This window comes from Homo sapiens, chromosome 15, assembly GCF_000001405.40.
Source record: "Homo sapiens chromosome 15, GRCh38.p14 Primary Assembly".
Taxonomy (NCBI): Eukaryota; Metazoa; Chordata; class Mammalia; order Primates; family Hominidae; genus Homo; species Homo sapiens.
In genome coordinates this window covers 49,559,008-49,576,365 of record NC_000015.10, presented here as the reverse complement: position 1 = coordinate 49,576,365, position 17,358 = coordinate 49,559,008, and the positions used below count along the sequence as shown (strand labels likewise).

The window sequence follows — 17,358 nt, the reverse complement described above, 5'->3', positions numbered from 1 at the left end:
TCAAGTGTCTGTGGGAATTTTGGGGTAGTATCCCTGTAGGGTAACCAAACAGTGAAAAACTGCAGGTGTTGGGAGGTAATTAGATCAATAGCCAGTGAATACGAGGGCTAAAATGAGGGTGGGATGGTTACCTGGTAAAACTGGTCATTTTGCCCTCTATTTCAGTTTTCTGCTCTTTGTGTTTATGTACATTACATATGTTCTTTTTCATTAAAAAGTATTAAATCCAAGTTGAAGCTGTTATCAGTGTACATCATACTATACTTAGTGGCCTATGAAAAAGATGTGTCCCCACAGAATACATAATAATTTTCTTGCCATGAGAGTTTATATGATGTCCTTTTTATAGACCTGTACTTGAAGAGGAATTCATACCTCTGGATGCACTTAAAAGAAATCTTGAATGTTACTCAATCTGGCATTAAAACATTTTGTGACTAAGAAGATAAAATAATCTATTGAATCTGCCTATTTAAACCAAAACTTATATTTTCTAGTAGTTACAGTAGACAAATTTAGCCATTTATTCCAATTTTGATTAATTGTTTGCTTAGGAAGAATACTACACAGGCTCAGGATAGGGGCTTATTAGAATATAAGTCCATGATTGATTGTTGATATTTGTCCTCAGTGGAAAAGGGGGAAATAATGGCATGAATCTTACATTTTTGCTGTTCTTGGTGTCCTTTCAATATCTACTAGCCAAATATGATTATTGAGCATATGAAATATGACTAGTATGACTGAGGAGCTGAATTTTTTATTGTATTTCTTTTAACTACTTTATATATAAATCTAAAAACTATATTTGATTTAGTTATTAAAAAGCTTTTAATTATGTTTGGAAGAAAATTACAAACATGTATTCTATGAAGTCTAAATATTAATCTAGTACTTCTGATGAAAATGTAGTGTTCAAGTTGAGATATGCTATCAAAAATATATACCGTATTTCAAATGCCTAGTACTAAAAATAGAATCCAAAATATTTTAATAATTTTTATAAAAATTATGTTGAAATGATATTTTAAATATATTTGGTTAAATAAAATGTCACTAAAATTAATTTCACTTTTTACTTTTTTAATGTGGCTACAAGAAAATTTAACATTATGTATGTGGCTCATGTTAAATTTCTGTTGGACAGTGCTGATCTATAAGCAATGAAAGCATACTCTTTATAAAGCCTATTTACATTAACATGTTTTGTAATATATTTTAATCTCCATGCATCTCTCTCTTGTTTTTTTCCATAGGAAAGAGTTTTTAAAATCTGGAAGACTCATTTTCTCTCAGAAGCCTCCATTGCTCTTTTGCATGACTCCTTTTGGTGGTGGTTTCTCCATAAATTTAGGGTATAGTGATTTTTAAAAATTTATTTTTTAAGTTGATTTTTGGCATAATTAATTTTTCAATAGAGATAAGTCTAGTACAAAAATGTTTTTCTGGATGCAACTACAGAGATTAGTTTTTGAGCATTCCACACATTAGAAATCCTATATGATGTCTAGAGTTCTTTCAGAGGAGTTAAAACTTTAATATAGATTTCAAAAGATTCTGGATCTTTGAAATTAGACTTCATATATTATATCTATCATAATATATATCACATATTATATAATTAGAGTCTAAGTCAGATTTTTAATCAGAAGATCCAGAATTAGAAAGGTGAGAATTCTGATTAGGATTGAACAGATAAAGAAGGTGTATTAGTCTGTTTTCACACTGTTATAAAGAACCACCTAAGACTGAGCAATTTATGAAGGAAAGAGATTTAATTGACTCGTATTTCCGCATGGTGTGGAGGCCTCAGGAAACTTACAATCATGGTGGAAGGCAAAAGGGAAGCAGGCACCTTCTTCACAGGAATGCAGGAAAGACAGAAAGGGAAGGGCAAGTGCCACACTTTTTAAACCACAGATCTCATGAGAACTCACTGACTATTACGAGAACATCGTGGGGGAAACCACTCCCATGATTCAGTCACCTCCCTCCCAGTCCCTCCCTCGACATGTGGGGATTACAATTCAAGATGAGTTTTGTTTGGGGAGACAGAGCCAAACCATATCAGAGGGGGTATCTGGGAATCAATAAGAGAAGAAATAAACAGCACCTGAAACTGTGTTTTACTGGAAGAATTTCAGTAATAATATTATAATACCCTTAATGTTTAAAAAAAATTGCTCTTGGGACCTTAACTACAAAAAAGACAAATACCTGGAAAGTGCATCATTCCCCTCTAAACAGCAACAAAAGGAAGGCATTTAACTTACAAAGTCAGTTTTTTTTTAATCCATCATACAAAGTAGATTTCAAAGCAATGTTGCCAGGGATAAAGAAAGTAATTTTATAATGTTGAAGTGGTCAATTCATCAACCTAACATAACAATTCCAAATATTTATGCACCTAATAAAAATGCTTCAAAACACATTTAATAAAAACTTAATACTTCAAAGAGAAATACACAAATCAGTACGTATAGAGACTTCAGCCCCTTCTTTGAATAGTTGGTAGAATATACAGAAAATCAGTAAGGATACAGTATGATATAGAAGGCTTGAACAACACTGTCAAGCAACTTGACTAATTGACATTTATTAAACATCTCTCTTGTATTAGTTGGTTTTGTGCTACAATAACAGAATGGTGATTTATAATGAACAGAATGAATTGGCTCACAGTAGGCTGGGAAGTCCAAGATAGAGGGACCGGCATGTGGTGAAGGCCTTTTTGCTGCATCATCCCTTGGCAGCAAGTAGAAGAGTGAGAGAGGGAACAAGCAAGAGGGCCCCTCCTATGATAACAAACCCACTTCTGTGATAATGGCATAATCTGTTCATGAGGGTAATGTCCCCAAGACCCAAACACCTCCCATTAGGCCTCATCTCCCAACACCACTGCATTGGGGATCAAGTTTTCAATACATGAACTTTGGGGGACACATTCAAATCGTAGCACCTCCCAATAACAGCAGAATACACATTTTTCTCAAGTCCACATTAAACAGTTGCTAAGATTAACTACATTCTGAGCTAGGAAAATATCCTAATAAGTTTATAAGAATTTAAGTCAAACACAGTGTTTTCAGATCAACATGGAATTATATTATAAAATAATAACATATCTAGAAAATCCCCAAATATTTGGAAATGAACACAATTCTCAGTTACCATGGATCAAATCAGGAATCAATAAGGAAATCAAAAATTATTTTGAACTAAATGAAAATGAAAACAGATTAAAATGTGTGAGATATAACTAAAGCAGTATTTAGAGAGAAAATCATAGAATTAAAATGCCTGCATTAGAAAAAAGAGAAAGTTCTCCAGAAAGAGAAAGTTCAGCTTCTACCTTAAGAAAGTGGAAAAAGAAAAAAAAAAGCCAAACCTATGGAAAGCAGAAGAAAATAAAATAATAAAGATCAGAGAGAAAATTAATAACATTGAAAAGAGAAAATAAAGAAACTCAATTAGGCCAAAAGTTGGTTATTTGAGAATTCTAAAAATGAGGTAGCACAAGAGCAAATTGAAGCCTGTGTTTCACTGAGTGACCATAGAAGAAACAAAACCCAAATACAGCTCATTACTTGACTTGAGTCCAGCTCCTAAAGGCTTAGCAAAAGAAGAGGAATGCCTATTCCCAAGCATAAATATTATATACCTCAGTTTCTACAGGCCTATGAAAGTGCCCTGCTCTCAAACAGAAGGTATAAGACATATAAAGAAGGAAAGGAATTGTGGGTTGTTTGGTATGAAAATGATCAGCTTAATGAGAAAATGTCACATTGTTTTTCCAGGTGAATGTACAATTTTATACTCCCATTGTTAATATATTGAGTTCCCATTGTTCCTGAACAACCAATGGGTCAAAGAACAAATCAAAAAGGAAATCAGAAAATACCTTGAGACAAATGAAAACAAAAACACAACATACCAAAACTTATGAGATGCAGCACAAGCAGTGCAAAGAGGGAAATTTATAGCTGTAAATTCTTACATTAAAAAAGAAGAAAGCCATAGCAATTAGGCCAGAGAAAGAAATAAAAGTATCCTAATAGAAAAGGAAGAAGTGAAATATCTCTGTTTGTAACAACATCTTATATACAGAAAATCCTAAAGATTCCACCAAAAAACTGTTAGAAATGTATGAATTAAGTTGCAGGATACAAAATCAACATTCAAAAATTAGTAGCATTTCTGTACACTAACAATGAATTATACAAAAAAGAAATCAAGAAAACAATTCTGTTTACAATAGTAATAACAAAAAGTAAAATACTTAGATTTAAACTTAACCAAGGAGGTGAGAGATCTGTATACTAGAAATATAAAATACTGATGAAAGAAATTGAAAATGACACAAATAAATGGAAAGATATCCTGTGTTTATAGATTGAAAGAATTAGTATTATTAAAATGTCTATACTACCCAAAGCAACCTACAGAATCAATGCAATCCCTAACAAAATTCCAGTGATGTTTAAACAGAGATAGAAGAAAACAGTCCTAAAATTTATATGGAACTGCAGAAGATCCCTGAATAGTCTGAGCAATCTTGAGCAAAAAGAACAAAGCTTGAAGTATCACCCTACCTAACTTCAAAATATACTACAATGCTGTAGTAACCAAAAAAAGCAGAGTATTGGCATAAAAACAGACACATATACGCATAGAACAGAAAAGAGAGCCCCCAAATGAATCTACGCGTTTACAACTAATTGGTTTTCAACAAAGGCGCCAAGAACACATAACAGAGAATGGACAGTCTCCAATAACTGTTGTTGGGATAACTGAGTATCCACATGCAGAAGACGGAAATTGAACCCTTATTTCACATAATATACAAAAGTCAGCATGAATTAAAGACTTAAATATCAGATCTGAAACTGTAAAACTACTAGAAGAAAACAGAGGAAAAGCTCCATGACGTTGGTTTGTACGGTGATTTTTTGAGTATGAAGCCAAATGTACAGGCAACAAAAGCAAAAAATAGACAAATGGAATTGCGTCAAACTAAAAAGCTTCAGCAGAGCAAAGCAAACAGTCAATAGATTGAAGAGAGAACCTGTAGAATGGGAGAAAATATTTGAAAACCATACATCTGATAAGGGGTTAATGTCCAAAATATATAAGCAATTTAAACAATTTAATAGCAGGAAAACAACCTGATTTTAAAAGGAACAAAGTAAATTAGTAGTCATTTTGGAAAATAGTATGAAGTTTCCACAAAAAAACTGAAAGTAGAATCACCGTAAGATCCAGCAATCCCATTTCTGTTTATATCCAAAGGAGTTTAAACTGCTGTGTTGAAAAGATTTGCATTTTCATGTTCATTTTAGCATTAATTGCAATAACCGAGATATGAAAGCAACCTGAATGTCCATCAATGGATGAATGGATAAAGAAGATTTGGTATATAATTATATATAATATATATTTAATGTGTAATATTAAATATATTCATAATAATATTAATAAATTATATAAATGCATATGTAATATTTAATATATATTTAAATATATTTATATATTATATATAATATAAAAATATATAGCCTTTAAAAAGAAGGATATCCTGTAATTTCCAACAACCTAGATGGAACTGGATGTTTTGCTAACTGAAATAAGCCAGTCACAGAAAGACAAATACTGTATGATCTCACTTACATGTGGAATTTAAAAAAGTCAATCTCATAGAAACAGCAGAAAGGTAGTTATCAGAGGCCGAGGGTGGGGAGAAATGGGGAAAGGTGAGATGATCAAAAGGTGCAAAGTTTCACTTACACCAGAGAAATAAGTTTTAATGATCTATTATACTGCATGGTGACCACAATAAATAATACATTTCAAATTTGATAAAATAATTTGATAAAATTTTTAAAATGGGCAGAGGCTCTAAACACTTCTCAAAGGAAGACATACAAATAGCTATGTGAACAGTATTTGAAAAACTGCTCAACATCACTAATCGTTAGGGGAATACAAACCAAAACCACCATGGGATGTCATCTCACACAACTGTTTGATGTGTGAGATTTTATCTCACATGACTGTTATCAAAAAGATGAAAGATAACAAGTTTTGGTGAGGTTATGGAGAAAAGGAAATGCTTGTATATGATTGGAAATATGAATTGCTACAGCTAATATGGAAAACAGTATGGATTTCTCAAAAACTAAAAATAGAACTACCACATGCTCCAGTAATCCCACTTCTGGATATACATCCAAAGAAATTGAAATCAATATGTCAAATACATAACTCTATTTCCACGTTCATTGCAGCACAATAGCTAAGACAGGAAATCAACCTAAGTGTCCATCATGGAAATCAACCTAATTGTCTGTCAACGAATGAATGGATAATGTGGTGTAAGTACACAATAGAATATGCTTGGGCCTTGAAAAAAGGAAATCCTAACATTTGTGACAACCTGAATGAACCTGGAGAACATTTTGCTAAGTGGAATAAGCCAGGCTCATAAAGACAAACATCACATGATCTCACTTATATGTGGAACCTAAAAAAGTTGAACTCACAGAAGTAGAGAGCAGAGCAGTAGTTACAGAGGCTGGGCTGAATGGCAATGGGCACATGTTCAAAGGGTAAAGAGTTTCAGTGAGACAGGAGGAATAACTTTTTGAGATCCATAGCACAACATGGTCACTACAATTAATAGTACTATATTGTATACTTCAAAATTGCTAAGAAGGTAAATTTTAAATGTCTCACCTCAACAAATTATAAGTAACTGAGATAATGGATATATTAAGTAGCTTGATTTAATCATTTCACATTGTATACATTTATCAAAATGATACATTGTACCCTATAAATAAACACAATTATGATTTATACGTTCAAAATAATAAAACATTAAAAATCAAAGAAGAAAGATCTGAAATCAACCACACCGTCTCACACATTAAGTAACCGGAAACAGAACAAATTAAATCCTAAGTTAACAGAAGGAAGGAAATAATACATATTGCAGCAGAGATAAATGAAATAAAGAATAGAAAAACAGAAAAAAAATAAAACTAGAAGTTCTGTCTCTGAGAAGAACAAAATGGACAAACCTTTAGCTAGAATGACTATTAAAAAATAGGGAAGACTATAATTACTAAAATTATAAAAAAGTGGGGGCAATATTTTCAATTTTATGGAGGTTGAAAGGATTATAAGAGTGTTGTAAATGAATATATGCCAACAAATTGGAATAATGTAGTTGAAATAGACAAATTCTTAGAAACATACAATCTAACAAGATGGAATCATAAAGAAATAGAAAATCTAGATTGTAACTATTAAGGAGATTAAATCAGTAATCAAAAACCTCCCATCAAAGAAAAGCCCTGTACCAGATGGCGTCACTGGGGAATTCTACCAACATTTAAAGAAGAATAAACACCAGTCCTTCTGAAACTCTTTCAAAAAGTTGAAGAGGAAACATTTTCTAACTCAACCTGTAAGTTAGAAGGTATTACTCTGATACTAAAGCCCAAAAAGACACTGCAATAAAAAGAAACTACCAATATCTTTTATGGTGAATTTTGAGACAAAAATCCTCAACAAAATACTAGCAAATCAAAAGCAACAGCATATTAAAAGGATTATACACCATAACCAATGGGATTTATTCCTGGAATGTAAGGATAATTAACTCATCAAATGTTTGCATGCTTTTTGTTGCCAGGTACTGTGCTAAGGCCTTGAAATAAAAAGTTACAAAAATATGATCCCTGTCCTTATTTAATTTTACTGCACGCCTTTAAGATAAGTATATATTACCTACATTTGACAGATGAGAAACCCGGGACTTAATTAACTTGCCCAGGGTAATACAGCCAATGCATAACAGCCAGTGTTAAAATTTGGGTCTGCATTATGCGAAAACCCATGCTGATTCTCCTGTACCAATTGATCTGCTCATGAGAATAAATGAAATTGCTGTCATCATGTAAACAAATTCCAGTTTTAAATTGTAATATTGACTTTAATTTCACACATTTTTTTAAGCCTGACAGAGAAAACCAAGATTGCTTATTCGATAGAATTTCAGAAAGTTATGTGACACTTTTCATGAGCATACCTCTAAGTCGAAAGGATGCATTTTTTCAGGTAAGCATTGAAATTAACAGTTATGCTAATTATTTTTAAAGTGAATGAAATAGAAAAAATCGTTATTTTATTTAAACCCATATGAGAATATATTTTGTTACTTTTGAAAGCAAAGTTGGTGTAGAGTATTAGTAATATTTTGAAAGTTATGCTCTTATTAACCCCTCAAAATATTGTATTCCCTGGCATCAAGGTCTTACATAATCTCCTTAGTGACTACAGGAACTTTGTTTGCATATTAATAATTTTAAAACTACTGAGTCATTCTATGTATGTTCCTGTTTTTTTTTCTGTTTACCTACAAAATTATTTATGACTTTTCTTTTACTTTATAATGAATCTTGATCCACTTAAGCGGACTTTACAAGTTTATTTTATGCCCAAGGACTAAGCACCTGTTACAGTAAAGCACAATACATAAAATTATGAATCAAATGCTTGCTGTGCTTTTCTGTTATTGTACTAACTGATGGATAGGATTGATTCAAATAAGTAATGTCCCTGGGTAGTGTGAAATGAAGATGGTAGGAATCTCACTGGGTGTTTTTAAGTTTAATATTTAGCATTTCAAAACACAAGTCATATTCAAATACTTTGTTGCATTAGCAATTTGTAAATCAGAAATCATAGTAAATACTTTGGAGTTTGTAAATGTTTTCATGAGAAAGCCATACCCAAAATAAAAAGGTGTCTTTCATGATGAATATATAAACAAGCCTAAATTCACAAATTTGCCAAATATTTATATTTAATCTTGACCTATCTTACTCACAAACACATGTGTAAAGTTTGATAGAAAGAAACTATCACTAGTAGACTGGGAATAAGGATACTTGGCTTCATGTCCAGAATATGCTACTGATTACCTGGGTGATCTCAGCAAGCCACTCAGCCTCTCAGGTTGACAGCTGGGTTGTATATCACATGAAGAGGTTGATTAGGTCTTGATTATTTTAAGACAGTGATTCTTAAATTGTTATCAAACAGTGATGTTCTGACAGGTTTTTTCTTATTTGCAGCAAAAAGTTAATGATTAGGCATGTTGCAATTAAATTGTCTAAAGATCACAAAAACAGCTGTTTCTGCTACCCATATTCTTTCAGTTAGCCTATTCTTCTATGGCTTTTATTTTAACTATTTACTGAGAGTGCCTAGTCCACCTACATGATTTTATGAAATCAAGCATGTTTTAGTACAGGGCCCTTAAGAAAAAGATAAGAGGCTTTTAAATATGGACAAAGAATAAAATGGTGGTAACATTGTGTATCCCCCATTCTTTAGTTTCTGTTTCTACTTTTATGATCCAAATGTTCTCACTTGTGGTGGATGTGTCTTTTGATAAATCTTATACTTACAACTTCTCTCAAACCATGATTTGATTTTTTCTGGATTCTGATTTTCAGTAACTTTTTCTAAGAAGAAATTAGAAGTTGTTTAATTAAGTTGCAAAGCCTCATTTGAGAACAGACAAGATGTACTTAATGATTAGACTCCTGGACTTGCACTAAGTCTTCCTTTAAAACTCCCTGTCCATGCATTTATGTGTGAGAGCCACCTGCCTTCAGGATCTCATCTTTTATTGACCATAATTTCAATTATTTTTAACTAATTCAAATAAGTGAGGGTTTTATTACTATTAACTCATCTGATTTATATTTCCTAAGGAAGATAAATGTATTAATATTTAAGAAAGAAAAAAATTATCTTCCAGTCCACTATTTAGCACAAATTAATCTGAACCTAAATATATTTTGTATGGCTTTTATTTTCCTTTCTTCCAGCATCACACAATGATATTCTCTCAGAAATTTTCCAAATAGTTTGACACTTAATCTCCTTCATCTCCTGAAGGCAGGATATTCATAGAAAATGTTTAGAAGTTCCCTTTATTCACCTTGTTCAACATTTTAATTTTAACCATTGGTATAATTTGTGTACCACAAATAGAATATGTCATCATTTCTGGTAGAAAAAAATGCTCATGGCTCATTTAATAAAATTAAATATGTCAACATATTATAGAGTTTTTCCCTTTTCCCTTCACTTCCCAAGAAAAATCATGGAGATCTTAAAAGAATACCATCACTTACCAGCAAATTTGAGCACTAATAGATTAAGTGACTGTATTAGTCTCCTACTACTGTTGTAAAAATTATATATTTAGTGGCTTAAAGCAATAGAAATTAATTTTCTTAGCTGTGGCGGCCAGGAGCCCCAAATGAGTCTTACAGGGCTAAAATCAAGGTGTCAGCAGGACCAATGTCTTTAGGAGGGCCCAGAGGAGAATCTATTCCTTGCCTCTTCTGTCTTCTGGAGGTTGCCAGTATTCCTTAGCTTATGGTTGTATCACTCCAATCTCTGCTTCTGTTTTTGAATTGCTTTCTCATTTTCTATAGTCAAATTTCCCTCAGCTGCCCTCTTACAAGGACACTTACAGCCCATGGGATAATCTCCTTATTTTAAGTGGGGATTAAGTTAAGATCTTTAATCTTAACCCCCACCGAAGATCTTTAACTATCACATTTGCAATATGCTTTTGCCTTGTAAGGTAACATTTACAGGTTCCAGGGATTAGAACATGTATATATTTTGCACCAGTATTCAGTCTATCACAATGACTTGTAAGAGACTTTCTAATTCTAAAATTTTACAAAGTGATGGGCTTAATGTGTGATTATAAATACTTATCTGAATGCAGAGTATGCAAATAGTTGTATCAATTTGTCTTTAATATAAAAATATTGTGTTTTTCTATGTTGAGTCACTCCCTGAGAGGAATTTAATAGTTTAGGGATTTGAAAGCTAACAGGATACTGGTAGTCCCTTATATTTGTTGATTTCTGATTTTTTTTTTTTTTTTTTTGAGATGGAGTCTCACTCTGTCACCCAGGCTGGAGTTCAGTGGCGCAATCACGGCTCACTGCAACCTCCGCCTCCCGGGTTCAAGCGATTCTTCTGCCTCAGCCTCCTGAGTAGCTGGGACTATAGGTGCCCATCACCACCCCTGGCTAATTTTTGTATTTTTAGTAGAGACGGGGTTTCACCATATTGGCCACACTGTTCTTGAACTCCTGACCTCGTGATCCGCCCACCTCAGCCTCCCAAAGTGCTGGGATTACAGGTGTGAACTACTGTGCCCGGCCTCTGATTATGATTTTAATATTGAAATAGTACTGATTGCACTATATAAACTCATGCGAACAACCTACAGTTACTTAAAAATATACTTTTTATTGCTATGGCTCATATGCATCATTTACAAAAATTGCAACATTTACTTTAGGTTCAGGGAGTGCACGTGCAGGTTCGTTACGTGGGTATATTGTATGAAAGATCCTGTCATCCAGGTAGTAAGTATAGTATAGTGAGTTTTTCAGTCCTCACCCCCAACACCTCCCTCTTCTATCTAGTAGTCCCCAGTGTCTATTGTTCTCATCTTTATATCTATATGTATTCAATGTTTAGCTCCCACTTATAAGTGAGAACATGTGGTATTTGGTTTTCTGTTTCTGTGTTAATTAGCTTAGATTAATGGCCTCCAGCTGCAACCACATTGCTGCAAAGGACATGATTTTGTTCCTTTTTATAGCTGTATAGTATTCCATGTTGTATATGTACCACATTTTCTTCATCCAGTTCACCATTGATGGATAGTTAGGTTGATTCCATGTCTTTGCTATTGTGAACAGTGCTGTGATGAACATACAAGTACATGTGTCTTTTTGATAGAACGACTTATTTTCCTTTGGGTAAACACGCCTTGTTATGGGATTCCTGGGTCTAATGGTAGTTCTGTTTTTTAAGTTATTTGAGAAATCTCTAAACTGTTTTCCACAGTGGCTGAACTAATAAACATTTCCACCAACAGTGCATAAGCATTCTTTTTTCTCTGCAGCCTTGCCAGCATCCATTGTTTTTGACTCTTTAATAATGCACACTCAGATTGATGTGAGATAGTATGTCTTTGTGGTTTTGATTTGCATTTCTCTAATGATTGGTGATGTTGAGCATTTTTTCACATGTTTGCTGCGTGTATGTCTTCTTTTGAGAATTGGCTGTTCTTTTCCTTTATCCACATTTTAATGGGATTATTTCTTCTTTGTTGAATTGCTTAAATCTTAAGTTTATAGATTTTGGATATTGGGCCTTTGTTGGATGAATAGTTTGTGAATATTTTCTCCTATTCTGTAGGTTGCCTGTTTATGCTGTTGATAGTTTCCTATGTTGTGCAGAAGCTTTTTAGTTTAATTAGATCCTGCTTGTCAATTTCTATTTTTGTTGTAGTTGCTTTTGCAGACTTAGTCGTAAATTCTCTGCCAAGGCCAATGTCCAGAAAGGTACTTCCTAGGTTTTCTTCTAGGATTTTTATAGTATTACATCTTATATTTGTCTTTAATCCATCTTGAGTCAATCTTTGTATATGGTGATAGGTAGAAGTCCAGTTTTGTTCTTCAGCGTATGGCTAGCCAGTTACCCCAACACCATTTATTGAATAGGGAGTCCTTTCCTGATTGCTTGTTTTGTCTACTTGTTGAAGATCAGATGTTTATAAGTGTGCAGCTTTATTTTTGGCTTATCTGTCCTGTTCTGTTTGTCTGTGTGTCTGCTGTTCAACCAGTACCATGCTGTTTTGGTTACTGTAACCTTATAGTGTAGTCAGAAGTCAGGTAATGTGATGTCTCTGAATTTGTTCTTTTTGCTTGGGATTGCTTTGGCTATTTGGGCTCTTTTGTGTTTCTGTATGAATTTTAGAATAGATTTTTCTACTTCTGTGAAAAATAGTATTGGTAGTTTGATAGGAATAGCATTAAATTTGTAGATTGCTTTGGGCAGTATGGCCATTTTTAACAATGTTGATTCTTCCATTCCGTGAGTGTGGAATGTTTTTCCGTTTGTTCATGTCATCTATGATTTCTTTGAGCAGTGTTTTGTAGTTTTCCTTGTAGAGATCTTTCACCTCCCTGGTTAGCTGCATTCCTGGGTATTTTATTTTTGGCTTCTGTAAATATGATTGCATTCTTAATTTGGCTCTCAGCTTTAACATTATAGGTGTATAGAAATGCTACTGAGTTTTGTACATTGGTTTTGTATTCTGAAACTCTACTGGAGTTGTTTATCAGTCTTACAGACCTTTTGGCAGAGTCTTTAGGATGTTCTAGGTATAGAATTATATCATTAGTGAAGAGAGATAATTTGACTTCTTTTACTATTTGTATGCCTTTTATTTCTTTTTCTTGCCTGATTGCTCTGGCTAGGACTTCCAGTACTAGTTAAATAGGAATGGTGAGTGTGGGCATCCTTGCCTTTTTTTGGTTCTTATGGGGAATGCTCCCAGCTTTTGCCCTTTTAGTATGATATTGGCTGTGGGTTTGTCATAGATGGCTCTTATTATTTTGAGGTATGTTCCTTCAGTGCCTACTTTTTTGAGGATTTTTATCATAAAGGGATGTTGAATTTTATCAAATGCTTTTTCTGCATCTATTGAGTTGATCATATTTTTTAAAAAAATTATATTTATGTGGTGAACCACATTTGTTGATTTGTGTACGCTGAACCAACCTTGCATCACAGGAATAAAGCTTATTTGATCATGGTGAATTCACATTTTGATGTACTGCTGGATTTTGTTTGCTAGAATTTTGTTGAGAATTTTTGCCTCTGTGTTCATCAGGGATCTTGGCCTACAGTTTTTTTTTTCCTTTTGTCTTTTCCAGATTTTGGTATCAGAGTGATGTTGGTTTGGTAGAATATGTGAGGAGAAGCCCCGCTAAGGTTCCTCAGTTTCTTTGAATAGTTTAACTAGGGTTGGTACCAGCTCTTCAACTGGTAGATTTTACTATGAATCCATCTGGTACAGGGTTCTTTTTGGTACATAGGTTTTTATTATTATTATTACTGATTTAACTTCAGAATTTGATATTGGTCTGTTCAGGGTTTCAATTTCTTCCTGCTTCAGTCATGGGAAGTTTTATATTTCTAGGAATTTATTATTTATTCTAGATTTTCTAACTTGTGTGTGTAGTGTTGTTCATAATAGTCTCTGAGAATCTATTGTATTTTTGTGGGATTGTTTGTAATATCTCCTTTGTCATTTCTGACCATGTTTATTTGGATCTTCTCCTTTTTTCTCTTTATTAATCTAGCTAGTGGTCTATTGACATTGTTTATCCTCTCAAAGAATCAGCTTTTGGCTTGGATGATCCTTTTTATGGATTTCTGGGTCTCAACTTCATTAAGAACTGCTCTGATTTTAGTTACTTCTTGTCTTCTACTAGCTTTGGGGTTATATTGTTTTTATTTTTCTAGTTCCTTTAGGTGTAATATTATATTGTTAATTTGAGATCCTTGTAACTTCTCTATGTAGGTGTTTAGTGCTATCAACTTTGCTCTTAACATTGCTTTGGCTGCATACCAGAAATTTGGGTATGTCGTGTCTCTATTTTCATTTATTCCAAATATTTTGTTTATTTGTGTCTAACTTAGTTGTTTACCAAAAAACTATTTAGGAGCAAGTTGTGTAATTTTCATGTGATTTTCTGGTTTTGAGAGATCTTCTTGATATTGATTTGTGTTGTTATTCCACTGTGGTAGTATTTAACTTTTTTTGAATTTATTGAGACCTGCTTCATGGCTGAGCATGTGGTTGATCTTAGAGTATGTTCTATGTGAAGATGAGAATAATGCACATTTCTAGTTGATGGGTGGAGTGCTCTGTAGATATTTGTTAGGTCCAACTGATCAAGTGTTGAATTTAAGATCAGGACTTCTGTGTCAGTTTTCTGCCTTGATGATCTGTCTAATGCTGTCAGTGGGGTGTTGAAGTTTCCTACTAATATTGTGTGGCTAAGTCTTTTCATAGGTCCATAAGTACTTGTTTTATTAATCTGGGTGCTTCAATATTGGATGTGTATATATTTAAGAAAGTTAAGGCTTCTTGTTGAATTGAACCCTTTATCATTATGTGGGGCCTTCTTTGTCCTTTTTTACTGTTAGCAGTTAAATGTCTGTTTTATCTTATAAGAATAGCTACTGTTGCTCTTTTCTTGTTTTCCCTTTGCATGGTAGATCTTTCTCCAACCCTGAGACTTTAGGTGTCATTATATGTGAGATGGGTCTCTTGAGGAAAGTAGATAGATAAGTCTTGTCTTTCAAGTCAACTTGCCACTCTGTTCCTTTTAAGTGGGGCATTAAGACAATATACGTTCAAAGTAAGTATTGATATGTGAGATTTTGATTCTATTGTAAAGTTCTTAGCTTATTGTTTTCTATCTTCTATTATGTACTTGCTTTATTGGGTATGTGGGTTATATACTTAAGTTTAATTTTGTGTTAGTAGGTGTCATTTTTTTGTTTCTACATTTAGAACTCCCTTAATGATCTCTTATAAGGCTGGTATAGTGGTAATAAATTACCTTAGTGATTGCTTGTCTGAAAAATTTTCTATTTCTCCCTTACTTATGAAGCTTAGTTTAGTGGGATATGAAAATTCTTTGTGGGAATTTATTTTCTTTGACAGTGCTGAAAATAGACCTCCAATCTATTCTGGTTTGAAAGGTTTCTGCTGAGAGGTCTGCTGTAAGCCTGATGAGATTCCCTTCATACATAATCTGACCATTTTCTCTAGGTGGCTATAAGATACTTTTATTAGCATTGACCTTAGACACTCTGTTGACTATATGCCTTCATGGTATTCATTTTGTATGGTATCTGGCAGGTGTTCTCTTGATTTTTTAAATTTGGATGTCTACCTCTCTAGCAAAATTAGGAAATTTTTCTTGAATTATTTTTTCAAATACGTTTTCCAGGTTGTGAACTTGTTCTCCTTCTCTTTCAGGAATACCAGTAATTCATAGGTTTGGTTGCTTTACATAATACCATTTTTTTGATACTTTGTTCATTTTTCTTAATTATTTTTTATTTCTTTTTGTCTGACTGGGTTAGTTCAAAATACTGATCTTCAAGCTCTGAAAATTTTTCTTCTGCTTAGTCTAGACTATTGATAAAACTTTCAGTGGTATTTTGAAATTTCTTTGGTGAGTTTTTTATTTCCAGTGCTCTAATTGATTTCTTTTCATGATGTTTAGCACTTCCTTCATTTCCTGGATTCCTTTAGAAGTTTCTTTGTGTTGATTTTTAATCTTTTCTTGAATCTCATTGAGCTTCCTTGCAATCCATGCTTTAAATTCTTACTTGTCATTTCTGAGTTTCTTTTTTGGTCAGGAACCATTGCGGAGGAACTAGAGTGATCTTTTGGTGGTGTTGCAACATTCAGGTATTTTTGGTGTCAGAATTTTTTTTTTTTCGAGACAGTCTTGGAGTCTCGCTCTGTCACCCAGGCTGGAGTGCAGTAGCACAATCTCAGCTCAACTGCAGTCTCCACCTTTCAGGTTCAAGTGATTCTCCTGCCTCAGCCTCCTGAGTATCTGGGATTACAGGCACGTGCCACCACGCCCTGCTAATTTTTGTATTTTTAGTAGAGACGGGGTTTCACCATGTTGGTCAGGCTAGTCTCGAACTCCTGACCTCGTGATCTGCCTGCCTCAGCCTCCCAAAGTGCTGGGATTACAGGCGTGAGCCACCACACCCGGCCTATAGTGTCAGAATTCTTATGCTAGTTCCTGCTTGTCTGGAGAGGAGTGGGTGGGTCTTTTGGCATTGCCTCTGTTGACTTATGGTGTTTTGGCTTTGCTTCTATTGCCTTATGCACTTCCGTGGGCTGGTTTTATATTGAGCTGTGCAGTTTGACCTAGAAGTTGGTCAGTGGTGCTCTCAGGTGAGAGCCAGTTGCAACATAAGCAGGTAGGTAGGTACCTGATCTTTGTTTATTGAGGTGCTCTCTGTTGTTTCAAGTGAAGGACTGGACATTGGAGTACCTGGTGCCATAAGTTTCCTGTTCTGTGGGGTTGGAGAGACACAGCTGGAGCCCCTTGCTTTCCCACAAATGCCCAAATGGCAAGCACAGGCACCTGCCCTGATGAGGGTTAATGGGAGGAGTTCCTTATGAAGTGCACTAAAGACTCTGCAGGGAGTTGAGATGGTTGCACCAGCTTCCTATCCTACATAGGCAGGAACTTGATCTGTTTTCCTATTACACAATTGTTCCAGGGCTCATGACTCCTAGTTTAGATTCATATTCTAGTCTATCTCTGGACTACAGTGAGGTTGAGAGCCACAGTAAATGCCTGTTTTGTGACTCTCTGTGGGAGTGGTTTCAGGGCATAATTTAATCTCTGAACC

The 17,358-nt window shown here is 34.1% G+C and overlaps 1 protein-coding gene across 28 annotated transcripts in view; it reads left to right on the top strand.

Moving 5' to 3' along the window:
• Positions 1 to 17,358, top strand: part of FAM227B (family with sequence similarity 227 member B) — a 293,849-nt gene that overhangs the window by 44,453 nt on the left and 232,038 nt on the right. For 21 of the 28 annotated variants that reach the window (XM_047432222.1, NM_152647.3, XM_005254214.4 and 18 more), the window contains 2 exons: positions 1,257 to 1,355; positions 8,020 to 8,121. The exons of 2 other annotated variants lie outside the window; for them this stretch is intronic. In XM_047432222.1, coding sequence (XP_047288178.1) covers positions 1,257 to 1,355; positions 8,020 to 8,121 — 201 coding nt within the window. The remainder of the gene's footprint in view (positions 1 to 1,256; positions 1,356 to 8,019; positions 8,122 to 17,358) is intronic. 5 more of the 28 variants (XM_047432221.1, XM_017021990.2, XM_005254216.4 and 2 more) reach the window with 1 other exon arrangement.